The sequence below is a fragment of the Homo sapiens genome, chromosome 5, assembly GCF_000001405.40.
Source record: "Homo sapiens chromosome 5, GRCh38.p14 Primary Assembly".
Classification (NCBI taxonomy): domain Eukaryota; kingdom Metazoa; phylum Chordata; class Mammalia; order Primates; family Hominidae; genus Homo; species Homo sapiens.
Window position 1 is genome coordinate 126,834,873 of NC_000005.10, and position 22,139 is coordinate 126,857,011.

Here is a 22,139-nt window from a genome sequence, read left to right on the forward strand (position 1 = left end):
CTCATAAAAAAAGACTTAATGCACCAACTATATCCGCTCATCCAGTTATTTTGTAGGGTTCATGTGAGAGTTAAATGAAGTTGAAAGATTGGAATTAAACTGACATAGTCTGGAATGCTTAGGGATGTAGCTTCTGTACAATTTGGAACAAAGGAGAAGTTAAGACTGCATTTTAAAATATCACTGGCCAAGCTGAATCAGAGGGACTAACTCTAGAGAGGAGATTCCAGAGGCAGTGAGGGAATATATAATGGAAATTTATTAAGGCTTAGTGACTAAACTTGAGGGTGAGAGAAGAAAAAAAATAAAGATGTATGAGGTTTTTAGCTTTTGTGATCACAGAAACTAATGATACCAAGGTTCATAAGAGGGAAGATGGAAGGGCAGAACAGGCGTTTGAACTTCATATTTGAGGATGAATCCAATCGCCTTTTGAATTGATTAGAAATATTTTGGTGACCTTCAAAAAACCAGTTTTAGTTCAATCAGTGGTGAGTCACAAGTCATATTGTGAGGTTATATGAAATTAATGAGTGATAAAGAAATGGGTAGAGGAGCCATGTTGACTTCACCTTGGAGGACAAATCCACTGCAGATGGCTTGGGATGTGTAAGTTCAGGATCTAGCAAGCTGTAGTCTCCGATGTGGTTGTTAAAAGCTGATCCACTGATCTCCTATTTCCTAAGTTATCAAAAGAGGTTATTGAACAATGGTTTTCAAATTGAGCTGCACATTAGAATTACTTTAAAATTATATATAGATAGCTACCCTTTCCCAGTAAAATGAGAAATTCTTATTTGATTGATCAAGGGACCTAGATCAGAATTTGTTTTAAACTCCTCAGGATCTGAATGTGTAGCCAGAGTTGACAATTACTGTTCTGGAATTTGTTGGGGGGTATTCTAGAAAGAAGTCCATAAAAGAAGGTTAGAGGCCAGATACGGTGGCTCACGCCTGTAATCCCAGCACTTTGGGAGGCCAAGGGCAGGTGGATCACTTGAGGCCAGGAGTTCAAGACCAGCCTGGCTAACGTGGTGGTGATGCACACCTGTAGTCGCAGCTGCTCGGGAGGCTGAGGCATGAGAATCGCTTGAACCCAGGAGGTAGAGGTTGCAGTGAGCCAAGATTGCACCACTGCACTCCAGCCTGGGCAACAGAGTGAGACTCTATCTCAAACAAACAAAGAAAAAGAAAAAAAGAAAAGGTTAGAAAAGATGAGAGATGATAAAGGGTCCATTTGAGGTTAGGTAATATGGTTTGGTATCCCTGTAGTTAAAAGTTTTTGTCTTATTTTAGAATACTGTGATCTATTTCTTTAGTATTAATTTTTCCTTCTGTTTTCCTCATCAGGGAACCCCAAGAGCATCCAATAGAAGCTGTGCAATTATGTAAAATTTTCAACTGTCTTCCTCAAAATAAAGAAGTATGGTAATCTTTACCTGTATACAGTGCAGAGCCTTCTCAGAAGCACAGAATATTTTTATATTTCCTTTATGTGAATTTTTAAGCTGCAAATCTGATGGCCTTAATTTCCTTTTTGACACTGAAAGTTTTGTAAAAGAAATCATGTCCATACACTTTGTTGCAAGATGTGAATTATTGACACTGAACTTAATAACTGTGTACTGTTCGGAAGGGGTTCCTCAAATTTTTTGACTTTTTTTGTATGTGTGTTTTTTCTTTTTTTTTAAGTTCTTATGAGGAGGGGAGGGTAAATAAACCACTGTGCGTCTTGGTGTAATTTGAAGATTGCCCCATCTAGACTAGCAATCTCTTCATTATTCTCTGCTATATATAAAACGGTGCTGTGAGGGAGGGGAAAAGCATTTTTCAATATATTGAACTTTTGTACTGAATTTTTTTGTAATAAGCAATCAAGGTTATAATTTTTTTTAAAATAGAAATTTTGTAAGAAGGCAATATTAACCTAATCACCATGTAAGCACTCTGGATGATGGATTCCACAAAACTTGGTTTTATGGTTACTTCTTCTCTTAGATTCTTAATTCATGAGGAGGGTGGGGGAGGGAGGTGGAGGGAGGGAAGGGTTTCTCTATTAAAATGCATTCGTTGTGTTTTTTAAGATAGTGTAACTTGCTTAAATTTCTTATGTGACATTAACAAATAAAAAAGCTCTTTTAATATTGATATACTGTCCTTTTTAACGCTTTAAAAACAGATTTTGAGGGGAGAAAAGTATTGTTTCAGTTTTGCTTTTGATAAAAATATAATTTGACTTCTTTGAACTGGATTTTTCTTTAAGGCTTTGCCAGTTGTGGAAGATAAGCTATTTTGGGGGTCTTTCAGTATTTAATTGTCATTAATAACAACAATAATAAAAGCAATAATAATAACTAATGTTTTTGAGCCAGATATCATGCTCAATGCTTCATTACATTTTTTAGCTTATTAACAATAAGGCCTTTTAAAATTTCTTCAGGAAAACCAAATAGGAACAGTAGAAAACATTGAGGAAGACATTCCTTTTTTTTTTTTTTTTTTTTTAAAGACAGAATCTCACTCTGTTGCCCAGGCTGTAGTGCAATGGCACGGTCTTAGCTCACTGCAGCCTTGACCTCTCCTGGGCTCTGCCTCCCAAGTAGCTGGGACTACAGGCACACACCACCATGTCCGGCTAATGTTTTTGTATTCGTAGAGAGCATTTTGTCATGTTTCCCATGCTGGACATTCCTAGTAAAAGAAAAAATGGGAAGAATATTTTAGAATGTAATTCTACTGTCTTTTAAAATAGGAAGGGCCGAGAAATTGATTAAAAGCCACCTTTTAGAAAAATAACATGAATGCTATGAAATACGAATGTGCTGTGTGTGGGGTAGCTTTATTATGTATGGTGCTAATTATGGTGTCAATTCGTGTGGATTTGGGGAGGTTTTGTCTTGATTGCTTTAGTTAAGTGAGTTCATCTTATAGGAAGTGCAATATCTGAACTCTTCCTAGAATGGACAGATAATATTTCAGAAGCTAACCCTAGTCAGTGTTTGTTTTTCTCTTAAAATATTCCTGCAGTAAGCTGCACAAAGACTACCAGCTTTCACTTGAAAATAACTCACAAAGCCCCAGAATTACTGTGTTCCGCAGATTTACTGCATACTTTGGTGCCGTCGCAGACACAAGATAAATGCTGGGTTAGAAATTCTGTCTGGTAAAGCAGATAAAATGATAACTTCTCAACGCAGATTTATCTTCAGAGTGGGAATGGCATTACAGTACACAGCCAAACTCAGCTGTGAAACATTTTGCCACAAGATGGGGTTCTTGTCATCAAAATACATTCTAGGTGCTTTTATTGCTGGATAAATTAGGTTATAAAAGCCAACACTTGAATTAATTTGGGCATTAAGAAAAATTGGCAGTTGTAACATAGTAGAATAGTGTGTATGCTGGGGAAATTGAGAGTACAAATGCAGGGCTCAACATAAACAGTTTGTTGCCCCTGGATGTGTGGCAGTAGTAGATTCCTGAGTCTGTTTAGACTGACAAACTTTGGACTAAATTGAGGTTTTCTGAAATTGAGCTGCACCTAAACCCATTCCCGCAGAATGTGAGTGAGCTAGAGGGCACGCTGCCATCCTGTGTATTAAAATCAGCATCTCCGCATGAAATTGATGTTAGGCATACAGCATATATATACATTTTTGGATTATTTATTTGATAACAAGCATGATTCACATTTTCCCCTTGTTTTGTCTTCAGTGTTTGTTTTCACCTCTGTTTAGGTATGGATTTATTTTATTATTTTATTTTATTTTATTTATTTTTTTGAGACAGAGTCTCGCTGTTGTTGCCCAGGCTGGAGTGCAATGGTGCAATCTCCGCTCACTGCAACCTCTGTCTCCCAGGTTCAAGCGATTCTCCTGCCTCAGCCTCCTGAGTAGTTGGGATTACAGGTGCACACCACCACGCCTAGATATGGATTTATTTTTATTCCTCTTGTTCAGGTCTTATCTCTGTGTTCTTCATTAAGAAAATTTTGGATGTTCTTATTTTGTTGAGTATTATCTCATCCCCACTGTCTGTTCTTTCCTTCTGGGGTTTCTTTTATACCTGTGTTGAACCTGTCCTGTTTCATGTATTTTAGGTTTCTCCACACTATATTCTCAGTTAACTCCTTCGTATTTATCTCACTGATTCTGTTCTCAGCCCTGTCTTATCTGTTTATTCCAGCCATTGAACTTTTTAGGCTTCATTTTTTTGTTTCTGAAGTTGTCTTTGATTCTTTCTCAAATTTATCTTTTTCATAATTTTTTATTATAGTTTTTATTCTTTTTATGAATCATTTTAACCATATTTTATAGTCTCAATTCTATTTTTTTGAGTTTTGGAGAATGCTAATTTTTCTGTTAGCTGTGTCTGTTGACTTTCCTAATGGTAGTTGGCTTTCTCATGGAGTTTTTAGGATTGTGAACACATCTCCAGCAAGGGCTATGTTGTGAGTGATCCGTTTCATGCGTGTCTGTGTGAAGAGACCACCAAACAGGATTTGTGTGAGCAACACGGCTGTTTATTTCACCTGGGTGCAGGCGGGCTGAGTCCGAAAAGAGAGTCAGCGAAGGGAGATAAGGGAGGGGCCGTTTTATAGGATTTGGGTAGGTAAAGGAAAATTACAGTCAAAGGGGGTTTGTTCTCTGGCGGGCAGGAGTGGGGGGTCACAAGGTGCTCAGTGGGGGTGCTTTTTGAGCTAGGAAAAGGACTTTCACAAGGTAATCTCATCACTTAAGGCAAGGGCCGGCCATTTACACTTCTTTTGTGGTGGAATGTCATCAGTTAAGGTGGGGCAGGGCATATTCACTTCTTTTGTGATTCTTTAGTTACTTCAGGCCATCTGGGTGTATAGGTGCAGATCACAGGGGATGCGATGGCTTGGCTTGGGCTCAGAGGCCTGACATTCCTGCCTTCTTATATTAATAAGAAAAATAAAACAAAATAGTGTTGAAGTGTTGGGGCGGCAAAAATTTTTGGGGGTGGTATGGAGAGAGAGAATGGGCGATGTTTCTCAGGGCTGCTTCAAGCGGGATTAGGGGTGGCGTGGGAACCTAGAGTGGGAGAGATTAAGCTGAAGGGAGGTCTTGTGGTAAGGGGTGATATTGTGGGGGTGTTAGAAGAAACACTTGTCGTATAGAATGATTGGTGATGGCCTGGATACGGTTTTGGGTGAATTGAGAAACGAAATGGAATAACAGAAGGAGAAAAACAGGTATAAAAGGTCTAAGAATTGGGATGACTCAGGATATCTGATTAGAGAGTGCCTAAGGAGATTCAGCATAGTCCTGCCAGCAAAGATTATTTATTTACTTCAAGAGTTAAGAGTGGCAGTTTGGGGATAGCACCAGGAGATATCAGCTGTGATGGCTTGGAGAAACAGTGTAAACCGGCAGTGTAAACAAGAGCAGGGCATGTATGAGTAGTTGAGAACGGTGAATAGGAGTATGACTAGACAGAAGATAGTAGGGATGACAAGTTTTTTGGGGGCACAGTCTAAGTTGGTCTGGTGTCTGGAATGATACTGGGGCCTAATAAAAAGGAGCGTCTATATAGGAGCTTAAATGGGCTGTACCCTGTAGCAGTCCGAGGACAGGCCTGAATTCTGAGAAGGGAAAGTGGTAAAAGTATTGTCCAGTCCTTTTTAAGTTGGTGGCTGAGCTTGGTGAGGTGTGTTTTTTTAAAAGACCTTTAGTCCTACTTTTCTTGAAGACGGAGGACCGTAAGGGATATAAAGGTTTCACTGAATACTAAGAGCCTGAAAAACTGCTTGGCTGATTTGACTAATAAAGGCTCGTCTGTTATCAGACTGTATTGAGGTGGGAGGCTAAACTGAGGAATTAAGTCTGACAGAAGGGAAGAAATGCCTGCAGTGGCCTTCTCAGACCCTGTAGGAAAGGCCTCTACCTATCCACTGAAAGTATCTACCTAGACTAAGAGGTGTTTTAGTTATCTGACTCGGGGCATGTTGAGTAAAGCTAATTTGCCAGTCCTGGGTGGGGCAAATCCTCGAGCCTGATGTGTAGGGAAGGGAGGGGTCCTGAATAATCCCTGAGGAGTAGTAGAATAGCAGATGGAACACTGAGAAGTTATTTCCTTGAGGATAGATTTCCACAATGGAAAGGAAATGAGAGGTTCTAAGAGGCGGGCTAGTGGCTTATACTATAGCATAACCTGCCTTTGCTGGTGTGTGGCGATTAGGCCTGGTGGACCCACCATCAATAAATCAAGCGTGATCAGGGTGAGGAACAGAAAAGAAGGAAATTTGGGGAACTGGGGTGAATGTCAGGTGGATCAGAGAGATACAGTCATGGGGGTCAGGTGTGGTATCAGGAATAATGTGGGAGGCCAGATTGAAGTCTGGGTCAGGAACAACGGTAATTGTGGGAGACTCAACAAAGAGTGAGTACAGCTGAAGGAGCCGGGAAGCAGAAAGTATATGCGTCAGGTATGAGGAAGAAAATAGATTTTGGAAGTTATGAGAACTGTAGAGAGTGAGTTGAGCATAGTTTGTGATTTTGAGGGCCTCAAAGTATTAGGGCAGCAGCAGCGGCTGCACGGAGACATGATGGCCAGCCTAAAACAGTAAGGTCAAGTTGTTTGGACAAAAAGCCTACAGGACGCAATCCTGGTCCTTATGTAAGAATTCCGACCACACAGCCCTGCACTTCGGCTGTGTGTAATGAAAAGGGTTGGGATGAGTCAGGGAGAGCTAGAGTGGGGGCAGTTTCTAAAGCTGTCTTCAAGGAATGGAAAGAGGAGTGGGGAAAGGATTTAGGATCTATGGGGTCAGCTAGGTTTCCTTTTGTGAGTTTATATAATGGTTTTGTTAGGATGGCAAAACCAGGTATCCAAAGGCGAAAGTATCCAACCATGCCCAGGAAGGAAAGGAGTTGTTGTTTTGTAGAAGCGGTTGGGGTTTGAGAGATCAGTCGGACACGATTGGCAGGGAGAGCACGTGTGTTTTTATGAGAATTATGCCGAGATAGGTAACAGATGAGGAAGAAACTTGGGCTTGATGGAAGTAATGGGGGCTGTCTGTGAAGCTTTGCAGCAGTACAGCCTAGGTAATTTGCTGAGCTTGATGGGTGTCAGGGTCAGTCCAAGTGAAAGCGAAGAGAGGCTGGGATTAAGGGTGCAAAGGAATAGTAAAGAAAGCATGTTTGAGATCCAGAACAGAATAATGGGTTGTAGAGGCAGGTATTGAGGATAGGAGAGTTATATGGGTTTGGCACCACGGGGTGGATAGGCAAAACAATTTGGTTGATAAGGCGCAGATCCTGAACTAACTTGTAAGGCTTGTCTGGTTTTAGGACAGGTAAAATGGGGGAATTGTAAGGAGAGTTTATAAGCTTTAAAAGGCCATGCTGTAGCAGGCAAGTGATAACAGGCTTTAATCTTTTTAAAGCATGCTGCGGGATGGGATATTGGTGTTGAGTGGGGTAAGGGTGATTAGGTTTTAATGAGATGGTAAGGGGTGCATGATCGGTCGCCAAGGAGGGAGTAGAGGTGTCTTATACTTGTGGGTTAAGGTGGGGGGGGATACAAGATGAGGACGCAAAGGAGGCTTTGGATTGGGAAGAAGGGCGGCAATGAGATATAGCTGTAGTCCAGGAATAGTCAGGGAAGCAGATAATTTAGTTAAAGTGTCTCAGCCTAATAAGGGAACTGGGCAGGTGGGGATAACTAAAAAGGAGTGCTTAAAAGAGTATTGTCCAAGTTGGCACCAGAGTTGGGGAGTTTTAAGAGGTTTAGAAGCCTGGCCGTCAATACCCACAACAGTTATGGAGGCAAGGGAAACAGGCCCTTGGAAAGAAGGTAATGTGGAGTGGGTAGCCCCCGTATTGATTAAGAAGGGGACGGGCTTACCTTCCACTGTGAGAGTTACCCGAAGCTCGGCATCCGTGATGGTCTAGGGGGCTTCCGAGGCAATCAGGCAGTGTGAGTCTTCAGCCGCTAAGCCGAGAAGATCTGGGAAGGAGTCAGTCAGAGAGCCTTGGGCCAGAGTTCCAGGGGCTCTGGGAGTGGCTGCCAGGTGAGTTGAACAGTCCGATTTTCAGTGGGGTCCCACACAGACGGGACGCGGCTTAGGAGGAATCCCGGGCTGCGGGCATTCCTTGGCCCAGTGGCCAGATTTCCAGCAAGTGTAGCAAGCTCCTGTGGGAGGAGGTTCTGGAGGAACGCCTGGCCGCTGCAGTTCAGGCATTTGGAAGTTCTTATGTGCTGGAGATGTGGCTGGGGTTTGTCTCACAGTGGAGGCAAGGAATTGCAACTTTTTTCTATTATGGTACACCTTGAAGGCGAGGTTAATTAAATCCTGTTGTGGGGTTTGAGAGCCGGAATTTAATTTTTGGAGTTTTATTTAATGTCGGGAGCAGATTGGGCAATAAAATGTATTTTGAGAATAAGACGGCCTTTTGACCTTTTAGGGTCTAGGGCTGTAAAGTGTCTCAGGGTTGCTGCCAAACAAGTCATGAACTGGGCTGGATTTTTATATTCGATGAAAAAGAGCCTAAACGCTATCCGATTTGGGATAAAGAAAAAGGAGCATTAACCTTGACTGTGCTTTTAGCTCCAGCCACCTTTTTAAGAGTAAATTGCTGGGCAGGAGGGGGAGGGCTAGTCACGGAACGAAACTGAAAGCCGGACCAGGTGTGAGGAGGGGAGGTGATAAAAAGATTATAGGGTGGAGGAGCGGAGGCTGAGGAAGAATTGGCACCTAGCTCGGCCTGGCGAGGAGCAAGCAGGCTGGGGAGGAAGGGAGAGGTCAGATGGGTCTGTAGAAAAGGAAGATTAGAAAGACTCAGCGACACTTGGGGTTGGTACTGAGGGGACAGGCGGGAGGGAAAGAAGGAAGATTTGGCACGAGTTGCACTGGGCACAGAGACTAGGAAGGGACTGATGTGTAAAAGAATGCCTGGACGTCAGGCACCTCAGACCGTTTGCCTATTTTACGACAAGAATTATTTAGATTTTGCAGGATGGAAAAATTCAAAGTGCCATTTTCTGGCTATTTGGAATTACTGTCGAGTTTGTACTGGGGTCAAGCGGCATTGCAGAAAATAAGGCATTTAGGTTTTAGGTCAGGTGTGAGTTGAAGAGGTTTTAAGTTTTTGAGAACACAGGCCAAGGGAGTAGAAGGAGGAATGGAGGGTGGAAAGTTGCCCATAGTGAAGGAAGCAAGCCTAGAGAAAAGAGAGTAGAGAAACAGAGGGAAGGGGTTCGGGGGTTCTTACCTTCCAGAAAAGTGGGAAAAGGGGTTGGGGCGCAGAGATAAGAGGTCGGGGTGCGGAAATAAGGGATTGGGGCGCAGAGATATTAAGAGGTTGGGGCGCGGAAATAAGGGATTGGGGTGCAGAGATACGAGGTCGGGGCACGAAAATAAGGGATTGGGACACAGAGATAAGAGGTCGGGGTGCGGAAATAAGGGATTGGGTGCAGAGATAAGAGGTCGGGGTGCGGAAATAAGGGATTGGGACACAGAGATAAGAGGTCAGGGTGCGGAAATAAGGGATTGGGGCGCAGAGATATTAAGAGGTTGGGGCACGGAAATAAGGGATTGGGGCGCAGAGATACGAGGTCGGGGCACGGAAATAAGGGATTGGGACACAGAGATAAGAGGTCGGGGTGCGGAAATAAGGGATTGGGGCGCAGAGATATTAAGAGGTTGGGGCGCGGAAATAAGGGATTGGGGTGCAGAGATACGAGGTCGGGGCACGGAAATAAGGGATTGGGACACAGAGATAAGAGGTCGGGGTGTGGAAATAAGGGATTGGGGGTTCTTGCCCCGTAGAAAAGCGGGACTTGCCACTAAGGGTGAAGGAGAAGGGGTTGAGTGGTACTTGCCCCTCTCCCAGAAAAGCAGAGAAGGGGTAGAGACAAGGAGAGAAGGGGTTGGGGTACTTGCCCCTTCCCCAGAAAAGCGGGACTTGCCGCTAAGGGTGAAGGACAAAGGCAGGCGTCCCTGCGTGGTCTGACACCCTTGAAACGTGGGTGTATAATCAGAGAGGTGTCCCTGCAATGATTAAACACCAAGGGAAGGCTAAGGCTGCCTTCCCAGTCCGTGACTGGCGCCGGAGTTCTGGGTCCACCGATAAAACGTGTCTGCTTTGTCTCTCCCAGAAAATGAAAGGAATTGAAATTAAGAGAAGGGAGAGATTGAAGAGTGGAAAGGAGAAAGTGGTTGAGGGACAGTGAGAGAGGTTGGAGAAGAGAGTAAGAAGAGGCCGCTTACCTGATTTAAAATTGGTGAGATGTTCCTTGGGCTGGTCGGTCTGAGGACCTGAGGTCGTAGGTGGATCTTTCTCACGGAGCAAAGAACAGGAGTACAGGGGATTGATCTCCCAAGGGAGGTCCCCCAATCCGAGTCACGGCACCAAATTTCATGCACGTCTGTGTGAAGAGACCACCAAACAGGATTTGTGTGAGCAACACGGCTGTTTATTTCACCTGGGTGCAGGCGGGCTGAGTCCGAAAAGAGAGTCAGCGAAGGGAGATAAGGGTGGGGCCGTTTTATAGGATTTGGGTAGGTAAAGGAAAATTACAGTCAAAGGGGGTTTGTTCTCTGGCGGGCAGGAGTGGGGGTCACAAGGTGCTCAGTGGGGGTGCTTTCTGAGCCAGGATGAGCCAGGAAAAGGACTTTCACAAGGTAATGTCATCACTTAAGGCAAGGACCGGCCATTTACACTTCTTTTTTGGTGGAATGTCATCAGTTAAGGTGGGGCAGGGCATATTCACTTCTTTTGTGATTCTTCAGTTAGTTAAGGCCATCTGGGCTTATACGTGCAAGTCACAGGGGATGCGATGGCTTGGCTTGGGCTCAGAGGCCTGACAATCCGTGTCCCAGGGTTTTGATGGTATTGCTACAGAGGAATTTGGAAGTTTCCTGTGCCAGAGTCCCAGGACCGTTTTTGGGTCACTTTCTCACCTCGTGGTAATACAAATCTACTGTGACACTTTTACATGCATGGTTGTTCTGTTTTTCTCAAGTAGCTTCCTCATCCTGCCGAAAAGCACCGCCTCTCCCGCCGCCCCGCCCCGCCCCGCCGGTAGTTTGTTTTTGCTCTGGGCTGACAGGCAGTATTCTGGTAGTGTGAGGCTGCAGGGAGCAATGGAAGGTTCTGTGCTTTGTTCAACAATCTTCTAGGTTTCTAGGTTCACTCCCTTGCAAAGAGCTAAAGCTGTTTCCTGTCCTCAACTACCAGCCCTTAAGGCTTATATTCCAGATTTTGAATTCTTTGTGGCACCTGGACATTTCTTGTTCTTTCTTTAAAGCTTGGCTCTATTAAAACAAATTTTGTTCTATTTTCTCAATCTTGTAGTGGAAGGAGGGGTTGTCCATGTCATTTTAATCTGCTATCATACATGAGTGCATCTGTGTATATTTTTAAGAGATATGATTCTAAGTCACGTTCCTCTTGGGTTTCAATATCTTACCCATCATCCTTTTCATCATATCTTAAATTACAAAGAAATTTATTTGGATGCCCCTTCTTTTCTTGCCAAAACACATGATAAAATGAGAAAAATTGAAAAGAATCTTTAAATAATCCATACCCTCTGGATCATTGGCTTCTAAACAAAATGCAGATTTTTTCTTTTTAATTCCATTGCTTGAAGTAACAACATGGAATTTTAGGAGGTGCCACCAGAGGGGAATGTTTCTTAGGGTTCAAGCCTTTGAGTCCCTGAAGCAAGGCTCTAGTATCTGTGGTGTTTACACAGGAAAACCCAGAATTCTGAAGTTGGGACTGACTGTCCTTCCTTGTCTACCAAATTAGGGGGGGGAAATTCCATGAAAAAAAGGTATTGAAGGAAGTAGTTTTTAGAATTTTGTGTTTCTTCTATTTGGCTGCCTTACTGAAGGGGACATTCAGAGCCAGATTGATGAAAATGAGGCAAATACGTGGCAAAATACATGCAAAACTCACAGAAGTCATATTTCAAGTTCTCAGGGAGAGGCGTCACATTAGCAGTATTGAGTGGGAAGAGGAATTAACAGGGAACAGTACTGTAAATGGATGCTGCTTTGCTGTCCTGGAGGGTCAGAGTGAGGACAGAGAACAATCTTAGAGGCAGATCAGTAACCAGTTTGCCCTGGAGCCATGCATGGGACCCAGAGTGTAAAATCCCTCACTGCCTACGTCCTCCTACCCCTCACTTCCACAATAATGCATTTTCTTTCACTTTTAACAGCATGGTAAATCCTGTCCTCTCCTGACATTTCTCCAGAGACAAAATACACCTCTCAATTTAGGGACACAGCCTGCCTCAGTAGCTTAATTACTTTATAACAATAAAACACATATTCACCCAGATTTATGATGTGAGTGCTTCCTCCACCAATCTGAATTGGAATTCTCAGTTTAAATGCCAGCCAAGTTTGCTTTTAGAGAAATGCCGCTTCTGTTCCATTTTGGGTTTTTAAATACTTACTTTGGCTGTGTATTACTCCAAATGAGCTGCAGTCTGTGAAACCGGAAGATTTCTCTGCATTTATATGTCATTTTCTTAAATACTAGTGTTGTTTTTTTTTTGATGAAAAATAAATTCCTACTTGCCTTTTAAGACTTATCTTGTGACCCACTTGGCTTACAGCTGGTGGCCCTAATCCTCCCACTGTAGCATCTGCTGCTTTTCTGCATGGATCTGTCTTTGGGGGCAGACCTCACTGTGTAATTGTGATAGGGTGGAGGTCCCTTTGGTAGTGCGAGGTTTTCTTCAGTGTTTCCTGACTCAGTCTGGATAATGATTCTCAAATTGTCTGGTTTCGTCTGTTGAATACACGCGGATGTTTCCACAGCCCCTTCTAGTCCTGAGTCCCATGACTTAAGTTTAGCCACAAGTACTAGTTAAAAGTGTCCACTGTGACCAGAGGGACACAAATGTCTGACTGTGCTGAATGTGTTTCTCTGGCTTCCTAATGCAGTGGTTGAGAGTGATCTTCAGATGACCTGTTTTTTTATCTAGTTTCACAAACAGTCCCAGATCACTTGTTTTTCTCTTCTGATTTTCTCTCCATTGTCCACATTTAGGCCAAGGAGCCTCCCTCTCACACTGCCCTTTAGCGAGCAGTGTGACTGTGACCCTGGCAGTTAGTTCATTCTCTTCCTAGGACTGGGGTCATGACCCAGCCTTCCTCTTCACTGCCAGCTTTCACTCCCTTGTTACGCTGCCTCTTCCAACCAGCAGATGCCAGGAAGGGACTCAACCCAAGCTCTTTCTGGGATCATAGGGTTTTCACAGAATTTTCCTATGAACTGTTTTCCCAGCTACTGAATCAGATCATTTCTCTTTAAAAAATTTTTGTCTTGCTAAGAGGAAAATTGTTATGAAATTTGAACTCGGAAAAAAAAAATCAAGATCTGCAAACATTCATATTATGTCATAAAAGAAATAGTGAGCCTGGGTTCTATCCCGAGACATGTTGCATTTCATTACCAGGAAAAGTAATGCGTATTATTACAATCCTTCTGGGAGGGGTCCTTCCCTGGAGAAAGAAGGGCGTGGGTGCTAGAGGTGAATGCTTTGGGTCACTCAGGCAGACCTTATACCAGAAATCCCAGAGGGGACCTGAAGCTGGGCCCTTACCGGACCTTACAGCTGGGGAACACTGGGGACCCCACTGGGAGAAACCGACAGGGGCAGGGTCTGGAAACGCAGTGCTGCTCTGACATGTGGGGAGTACACACCAGCACGTGTTGGTCTCTGACACACGGGACACTTTCACTCTCACATAGGAAGGCAGAAAAGCAGCATAAGACCCATCAAGAGGAAGCAGGGTGAAAGGAAAGGGGGCAAACATTTATTGAATGTTCACTCATGCTTGAGTTGTCACATCAAACATTACCTTACAGCTCACAATACTGCATTATTAGTATTGTCCTTGTTTTGTAGATGGGATAACAGGCCCACAGGTTGTCATTTATTCACTTGTTCATTCCTTCACCAACCATTCACTGGGAGATTTAGTTTTGCCAGGCGCTACTGAGCAAGGCATCAAGAATACCAAGATGAGACAGCCAGTTCTTTTCTTGAGGAACTCAGTGTGATCACAGTTCTATTATCCTTGATGACTATGCCTATTCTGCTATCCCAGGGAGCTGTCAAAAAAAAAAATAACATAGCCAGTTTACTAATGAAAACGGTGCTATTAATTGTTGAAATGAATGGGAACAATTCCAACTGTCGGATAATCCCCAAATCCCTATTTAAAATCTCTGTTGTTTCTAATGTTCTTCAAATTAATGGCAAATGTAATAAACATTGTTTTCATGGTGAGGTTTAGAAAATGCTTTCTTGTATATTAGCTGATTTGCACCTCTCAGCGTATGAAGATGGACTTAGGAGCAGGAACAGCTCCAGCTCTTGCTCAATCTGCCTTCCTCCCACTATCGCATCGTAAGCTCTCAGATAAGGCAGAAAGCCACAGCCCTGGTAGAATGACCTTTCCTAAACTGGCTGTTTCAGGATGCACTTTCCCTGACATCAGGGAGGTAGTTAAGTGTTCTGATTTAAAACTCTCCTTTGGGGGGATAGTCACCTTTAGGTAAGCTAACACACCACCCAGCAAGTAGGTGAAAGCAGTTTGGACCCCAGTGATGCAATGTGTTACTGTATCTAGGAAGTGTTGAAAATGACCCAGAGGGTATGCAAGTACATCCAAGTTATCCTGATGGGGGTAGGGTGGGGATGCTGTGAATAACAGGAATTATTGGAACTGGTGATTCAGCTTTGATTGGAAAGGAAATAAAATAAATGATTTTTTAATGATAGAGAATTCAATTATAGTCATGGGTTATGTCCCAAATTTATACTTTCCCACATAGATGGGTCTTCTCCATAGATAGACTTCACGTAGAAAGAATAAACAGCACATTGTTTTTGCCTTTGAACTAGGTCTGTGAATGGAAAACCCTTGATAAGAGAAGTAGTTAATGACACTAAGTTGCTGTCACTTAGTGATGTAAGTCTAAAAAAGCTAACATTCCTGCATCTCAGTTTCCTTATCTGTAAATTGGAACTAAAGATCCTGTTACAAAGAGTTGATAGTGGAATAAATGAGGCCATGTAAGATGGTCATACCAATATAGTAGGTTGTAAAGAAATAGGAATTTAAAACTAATTAACTTAAAATTTTTTGATCACGGGAATTAAGATGGGAAGTAAGGTGAGGCTGTCCTGTTATAAAATGGCAGGGCTGTTAATTATTGTTGGCTTAAGTAAGTCTATTAGCAAAAATAGTGCCAGTCAGAATTAACATTTCTCCTGGGTTAAGTCAACTGAGTGGTTAAACAAGGAAGGCCATTGAGAACACTGGAAACACCACATTTTACTCATTTTATTAATAAATATTAATATTAATTAAACAAACTTTTTTTTTTTTTTTGAGAGACGGAGTCTCACTGTTGCCCAGGCTAGAGTGCAATACAGCCTCTGCCTTCCAAGTTCAAGCAATTCTCCTGTCTCAGCCTCCCAAGTAGCTGGGATTACAGGTGTGCGCCACCATTCCCAGCTAATTTTTGTATTTCTAGTAGAGATGGGGTTTCACCATATTGGCCAGGCTGGTCTCTAACTCCTGACTTCAAGTGATCTGCCCACCTTGGCCTCCCAAAGTGCTGGGACTACAGGCATGAGCCACTGTGCCTGGCCCACAACAAACATTGATTAATCACTTACTAAGTTGCATGCTGTGCACTGGCAATACAATGGTGAGCGAAAAGAAATTTCTGCCTGACCCTGGTTGGGGTGGGGGTGGGGGGCATCAATCAAATATTCACACCGATGTGTAGAACAACAACTGTGGTCAACTGCTGTTATAAAAGGCAGGCACCACACGGCACGCTTCAGGAGCACTGGTCTTTTATGGGAAATGGTCATTAGGAAAGAATTGTCTGGTAGGAGGCTGAGTTTCAAAGGTGAAGTTCTCGCCTCCGCAGTCATGACAACAGCTCCAAGGTTGGGGACGTTAAGGGGGAGGTTCAAATTCTTTGACTTCTCGTTAAGACGATTTGAGCTTATTAAAAACTGGCCATGATCTCTCAGAGCATTAGCTAAGGGATACAGCTGGTGATCCTGATAGGGCATTTTGCTCTAACCTTGGAAGAATCCGTCTAGACTCCAGCCAGAACTTGATTGCAGACAGAACAGTGGAGAAAGAGGGGCCACAGTCCTGCAGCCTCAGTCTGTTTCCCTGGTGTTCCTGAGTGGTCCTGGGTACTCACAGGCACCCGAACTCAAGGGTCCAGGTCAGTCCAGAGTGCTTTCATGGAAACGGCAGGCTATGTGTGCCGAGAATGTCGCTCAGCCAATTGCATGGAATTCAGAGTTCCCCTGAGGTTCCCTGAGACTTGGTTCTCCCTGCTCTGATGGGATTTGGGATAGAAAGTGGGAGTGCCTGGTTAATTTGGAGTTTGAGGGCCTAGTGCTTTCAAAGAGAGATCCCCACCTGGGAGAATCATAACTCACATCCTCTTCCACCCTATACCTACCCGGTTTGGACAAGTAAAAGCAACACTTAAATAAGTGGCAAAATCTGCTTTTTTCCTGTTGCAAATTGAATATTATATGAGGGACAATGACTATTCCCAGCTTGATGCTTTGGAAAGTGCGTTTGGATTTTTCCATTTTAGACAAATGTCAGCTTTCCCCCGAAGTGGCCTCCATCGTGCTTGTTTGTTCCAAATCATTTTTCAATGCTGTGATTTCCCTTCTCTTTGCTTTAAACACTCAGTCACGTGGCTTGTCTCCACCGTGTGGAGGTGCCGGGTGCCTGGTTGGGTCTCTCTGCATTTCTGGCAGGAAGAAGGCATTTGTGAATACTGTCAGTACTTGTGACAGGTTGGTCACATTGGAACCTTTGCCCCTGTTGTTTAAAACCGAAGAAGACTGTGACTGTGGAGGTGCCCCGTGTGCTCAGCGCTCAAATGGGAAATGGAGAAGATTCCCGGAACGTGTTTGGCAGTCACTTCTGAGTTTTCCATTGAGACCCGAACATGAAGAAAATCTTCTGGCTCCTGCCAGTTGGCCAACCTCTGTCTGCCTTCCCCAGCTCACAGGGCTGCACACTGCATTGGGGCTGTCCTCCGCTGCTGGAAAATCACGCCGGTGCTCTTCACAAACACTGAACACTGGCCCTCTGCTTGATCCATGGAACCAAGATGACAGGATCTCCTGCCTGTTCTTGATAACAGCTGTAGTTTTATTTCAGATTTTCATTTAAACAAATAGTTTAAGGCCTCAGCTGGGAAAGAGGATTGAAGTATCCCCAATGGACAAAGCCTCTGGCACGCCAGAAAGACATGTGACTAAGCCTGAGTGACTTTCCTTCCTTCCCCTCCCAGGTTGCTGGGAGAAATAACTATGGGTTTTTGACAACTCTTTCCCAAAATGAATAGTGGAAGGCTGGGAAACACTGAATTATGAAATAAAGCAAGGCAGTTCATTTTGTCATCCTTGGCACCTGAATCCTAAACTACGGTAATGAGATCAGCCCCTTAACGGAGTACTCCAGGGTACCTTGCTCTTAGGCAATTTGTTTTTCTGTGTGTGCTCTTCAACAGACTCTGCAGGAAGTGGCTGACTTGATGCAAATGACTTTTTTGTTTTGTTTTGTTTGAGACAGAGTCTCACTCTTGCCCAGGCTGTAGTGCTGTGGCACGATCTCAGCTCACTGCAATCTTCACCTCCTAGGCTCAAGAGATTCTCCTGCCTCAGCCTCCTGTAATCCCGGGATTACAGGTGTGTGCCACCACACCTGGCTAGTTTTTGTATTTTCAGTAGAGACGGGGTTTCACCATGTTGGCCAGGCTGGTCTTGAACTTCTGACCTGAAGTGATCCACCTGCTTCCGCCTCCCAAAGTGCTGGGATGACAGGCGTGAGCCACCGCGCCCAGCCTGATTTTGGAGGGTTATAGTTGGGAAACTATTTAGTGCGCAGATATTGTCTCTGTGGTAAACGAGGAAACTGACAGGATTCCAAAAGCCTGCTGTTTGAAGGGGCTCATTCAGTTCCAAAAAGAGATGGGAGAGGCAGGAAACGTGAACATATGTGCTGCCTGCCCTCCATTGGTTTGTTTAATAACAAATTCACCCTGTCTGGGCTTGTGACCCCCCTCTCATGTTTGGAAGCGCTACTGCGGGGTTGTAGAGACAAATGAGTCATTTTCTGAGCTCTAATCCTGACCCCAGAGGGGCATGTGGCCACTTCTCCCTGACTTTTCCCGGGGGTGACTTGCTTCCGACACCTGCCGCCTTACTGTTTTTCCTCCTCAAGCAAGCTTGTTGCAGGCACTTCTTCCTTACTTGGTGCTGAACTTAGCCACAAGGAGCTGTCATCACGAGTGTGGGAGAGGGAGGAGAGGGGATCACAGGGGTTTCAGAGGGCTCACTTTGAGACTTGCTGATACTGACAACAGAGTTGACCTGGCCCAGGATTCTTCTAATGCTGCGTGTGACTGTGTGTCTGTGCCATAGTTTTTCAGTGTGTATTCATGCATGATGTATGTGTGTGGGGTGTTGGGGGTGGGGGGAGGGCAAGAGCGTTATTTTCTGGGTCAGAATAACCTTTTAAAATGGTAAGTTTTCCGCTAGGAGAGGAAACCCATTTTGCTCATCTGTCTAGATGTTTTTCTTCACCTGGGCCATGGAGGGCTTTGTTTCACAAGCTTTTCTCCTGTTTCGTCGTTCAGGTGGCAGAGATCGTTGCTCCGCCCTGTGACACACAGCCCACCCTCCATGTCCCACGTTGGGATGGATTACAGAGGATGTGCCCTCCTAGTGGCCCCCGCCAGCCACCAGAGTGAAGTTGATGCTTGGGTGCTATTGTGTCGGAAATTGGTGGGTTCTTGGTCTCACTGCCTTCAAGAATGAAGCCACGGACCCTCGCGGTGAGTGTTACAGTTCTTAAAGATGGTGTGTCTGGAGTTTGTTCCTTCTGATGTTCGGACGTGTTCAGAGTTTCTTCTTTCTGGTGGGTTCGTGGTCTCGCTGGCTTCCGGACTGAAGCTGCAGACTTTCGCGGCAAATGGTTATAGCTCTTAAGGCTGCGCTCTTGGAGTTGTTCATTCCTCCCGGTGGGTTCGTGGTCTGGCTGGCCTCAGAAGTGAAGCTGCAGATCTTCGTGTTGGGTGTTACAGCTCATAAAGGCAGTACAGACCCAAAAAGCGAGCAGCAGCGAGATTTATTACAAAGAGCAAAAGAAAAAAAACCTCCGCGGCAGGAAAGAGGACCTCACCTGATTGCCACTACTGGTTCGGGCAGCCTGCTTTTATTCCCTTATATGGCCCCACCCACATCCTGCTGATTGGTCCATTTTACAGAGAGCTGTTTGGTCTGTTTTACAGAGAGCTGATTGGTCTGTTTTGACGGGGTGCTGATTGGTGTGCTTACAATCCCTGAGCCAGACACAAAAGTTCTCCAAGTCCCCACTAGATTAGCTAGACACAGAGCACTGATTGGTGCATTTACAAACCTTTAGCGAGACACAGAGTGCTGATTGGTGCATTTACAATCCTCTAGCTAGACATAAAAGATCTCCAAGTCCCCACCTGACTCAGGAGCCCAGCTGGCTTTGCCTAGTGGTTGCGGTGCCAGGGCTGCTGGGGGAGCTGCCCGCCAGTACCACACCGTGCGCCTGCACTCCTCAGGCCTTGGGTGGTTGATGGGACCTGGTGCCTCCTACCAGGGGGCGGCACCCGTCCGGGAGGCTCAGGCTGAGCGGGAGCCTAGTGCAGGGGCCGGGGGGGGGGGGGGGGGCGGGGGGTAGGGCATGGCTGCTTACAGGTCCCCAGCCCTGCCCGGCTGGGTGGCAGTGGAGGCCCGTCGAGAATTTGAGCATGGCACGGGCAGGCCGGCTGTGCTGGGGGACCTGGCGCCCCCCTCTGCAGCTGCTGGCCCAGGTGCTAAGCCCCTCACTGCCCCCGGGCTGGGGGCGCAGGCCGGCTGCTCGGAGTGCGGGGGCCTGCCGAGCCCACGCCCACCCGGAACTCACGCTGGCCTGCAAGTGTGCGCCCAACCCTGGTTCCCACCGGCGCCTCTCCCTCCACACCTCCCCACAAGCAGAGGGAGCCAGCTCCAGCCTCGGCCAGCCCAGAGTGGAGCTCCCACAGTGCAGCGGCAGGCTGAAGGGCTCCTCAAGCGCGGCCAGAGTGGGCGCGGAGGTCGAGGAGGCGCCAAGAGCGAGCGAGGGCTGCCAGCACGCTGTCACCTCTCACTATGAACAATTGGCAGGACAGTCATGGTCTGGACCTAAGGAAGGTTTGCTCAGGGCTGACCTACCCACGAGCAGCTGCTCCTGGCAGTCTGAGCGCCTTTCATATTTCCTGTATTAACCTTGTGGCGCACAAAGACAGCATCGAGAACAAGCTAATGAGAATCATCCCTCTCATCATGGAACCCGCATCCCCTGCCTCAAACCAAGCCATGTGCACACGCACACTTGATGATAGCAGAATCGAGGCATCTGTTGACATTTGTCTTCTTTTTGTTTCTAGAGTGTGGTGGGATGCCTCCATCACTGTAGCACTGTCAGATGGGCGACAGCCTTATCGGCCGCCTCCAATCTCAGCAGGATGTGGGTTTTCTTTTTTAACGGGATGCTCTGAAGCCCTTTTGTCCGTGACCAAAAGCATCATTCTTGGCACTGAGCCTGAGGCCTCTTCTCTGACCTCTGCTTCCCTTCCCCTATCTACAATTACTGCACAGTCAGCCCATTGCCTTACTGTACTACTCTGATCATGTTTGATTTCATATACTTAACATCTCTATGTAAAATGACCAACCTTGAGCCTACAGCCTATGAGCTATAGGCTCCCTTCTGCTCAGCAACCAGTCCCTGCAGAGCAGTGAATTCTTTTAGAGAGAGCGTATATCAGGCAGCAGTGCCCAACTCTTTTTTTTTAAATACAAGTGATTTCACAAATGGAAAACTTAAACCTATATAAAACTGGAGAGTAGTATAATGAATACCATATACACATCACCTGAAGTCAACAATTACCTACATGTGGCCAATCTTATTTCATCCATACTTGCACCTTCTACTCTGTCATCTTTTGGATTATTTTAAAGTGAATCCCAGATATAGCATTAATAGCATGACTTTTTTTTTTTTAGTTTGTAATACAATTTTACTCTTCAGAATATACTAAAGATAATATTTACATATGCGCTGTATGTCACATAATATTCTATTTTCTCCTGTTCACTTTATTGAGGTATAACTGACAAAAATTTTATGTATTTATGATGTTAAATGTGATGTTTTGACATATGTATACATTGTGAAATGATTACATCAAGCTATCTTTCTTGTGGTGAAAACATTTAAGATCTACTTTTTTTTTTTTAGCAACTTTCAAGTACACAGTACATATTTTATTTTATTTTTTATTTTTGAGACAGAGTCTCACTCTTTCGCCCAGGCCAGACTGCAGTAGCGCTATCTCGGCTCACTGCAAGCTCCGCCTCCCGGGTTCACACCATTCTCCTGCCTCAGCCCCCGGAGTAGCTGGGACTACAGGCGCCCGCCACCACGCCTGGCTAATTTTTTGTATTTTTAGTGGAGACCGGGTTTCACTGTGTTAGCCAAGATGGTCTTGATCTCCTGACCTCGTGATCCGCCCACCTCGGCCTCGCAAAGTGCTGGGATTACAGGCGTGAGCCACCGCGCCCAGCCTATTTTATTTTATTTTATATTTTATTTTATGTTTGAGACAGAGTCTTGCTCTATTGCTGGTGTGCAGTGGTGAGATCTCCACTTTGAGACCAACCTGGGCAACATGGCAAAACCCAGTCTCTACACACATACACACACAAAATTAGTCAGGCTTGGTGTTGCACACCTGTAGTCCTAGCTACTTGGGAGGCTGAGGTAGGCAGATCACCTGAGCCCAGGAGATTGAGGCTACAGTGAGCTGTGATCTCACCACTGCACTCCAGCCTGGGCAACAAAGCAAGACCCTGTCTTAAAAAAAGAAAACAAAACAAAAAAAACAAAAACCACCCCAAAACAAGAAAACTGAAGTCCCTTGACTTTTGCAGACCATGGCCGAGACTGATTCTTAGTCCTTCTCATCTGGGATGAAGCAGATTTACTAACAAATGTTAGATTTTTTCCTCTTCCTCCTAAGAGCTCCCAC

The 22,139-nt window shown here is 45.0% G+C and overlaps 1 protein-coding gene across 7 annotated transcripts in view, besides 6 other annotated features; it reads left to right on the top strand.

The window, feature by feature from the left end:
* The window catches only part of LMNB1 (lamin B1), a 60,398-nt gene extending 58,250 nt beyond the window's left edge, over positions 1-2,148 (top strand). For all 7 annotated transcript variants that reach the window (NR_134488.1, NR_177109.1, NM_005573.4 and 4 more), the window contains one exon: positions 1,351-2,148. Coding sequence is in view for 5 of the 7 variants with exons in the window: in NM_005573.4 (NP_005564.1) it covers positions 1,351-1,392 (42 nt within the window). In the remaining 2 variants the exon portion in view is untranslated. The remainder of the gene's footprint in view (positions 1-1,350) is intronic.
* Positions 3,984-4,728: an enhancer, noted in NCBI's record as "OCT4-NANOG-H3K27ac hESC enhancer chr5:126174548-126175292 (GRCh37/hg19 assembly coordinates)". NCBI's record gives its function as "activates a minimal SCP1, AML or CMV promoter by ChIP-STARR-seq in naive and primed H9 embryonic stem cells {active_cell/tissue: H9 hESC(naive and primed)}" and the evidence as "EXISTENCE:reporter gene assay evidence [ECO:0000049][PMID:30033119]".
* Positions 4,729-5,471: an enhancer, noted in NCBI's record as "OCT4-NANOG-H3K27ac hESC enhancer chr5:126175293-126176035 (GRCh37/hg19 assembly coordinates)". NCBI's record gives its function as "activates a minimal SCP1, AML or CMV promoter by ChIP-STARR-seq in naive and primed H9 embryonic stem cells {active_cell/tissue: H9 hESC(naive and primed)}" and the evidence as "EXISTENCE:reporter gene assay evidence [ECO:0000049][PMID:30033119]".
* Positions 6,216-6,958: an enhancer, noted in NCBI's record as "H3K27ac hESC enhancer chr5:126176780-126177522 (GRCh37/hg19 assembly coordinates)". NCBI's record gives its function as "activates a minimal SCP1, AML or CMV promoter by ChIP-STARR-seq in primed H9 embryonic stem cells {active_cell/tissue: H9 hESC(primed)}" and the evidence as "EXISTENCE:reporter gene assay evidence [ECO:0000049][PMID:30033119]".
* Positions 10,441-11,410: an enhancer, noted in NCBI's record as "OCT4-NANOG-H3K27ac hESC enhancer chr5:126181005-126181974 (GRCh37/hg19 assembly coordinates)". NCBI's record gives its function as "activates a minimal SCP1, AML or CMV promoter by ChIP-STARR-seq in naive and primed H9 embryonic stem cells {active_cell/tissue: H9 hESC(naive and primed)}" and the evidence as "EXISTENCE:reporter gene assay evidence [ECO:0000049][PMID:30033119]".
* Positions 10,925-11,219: an enhancer, noted in NCBI's record as "tiled region #3880; HepG2 Activating DNase matched - State 23:Low, and K562 Activating non-DNase unmatched - State 8:EnhW". NCBI's record gives its function as "activates a minimal TATA promoter and a strong SV40 promoter by Sharpr-MPRA in HepG2 and K562 cells {active_cell/tissue: HepG2 | K562}" and the evidence as "EXISTENCE:reporter gene assay evidence [ECO:0000049][PMID:27701403]".
* Positions 12,465-13,291: an enhancer, noted in NCBI's record as "H3K27ac-H3K4me1 hESC enhancer chr5:126183029-126183855 (GRCh37/hg19 assembly coordinates)". NCBI's record gives its function as "activates a minimal SCP1, AML or CMV promoter by ChIP-STARR-seq in primed H9 embryonic stem cells {active_cell/tissue: H9 hESC(primed)}" and the evidence as "EXISTENCE:reporter gene assay evidence [ECO:0000049][PMID:30033119]".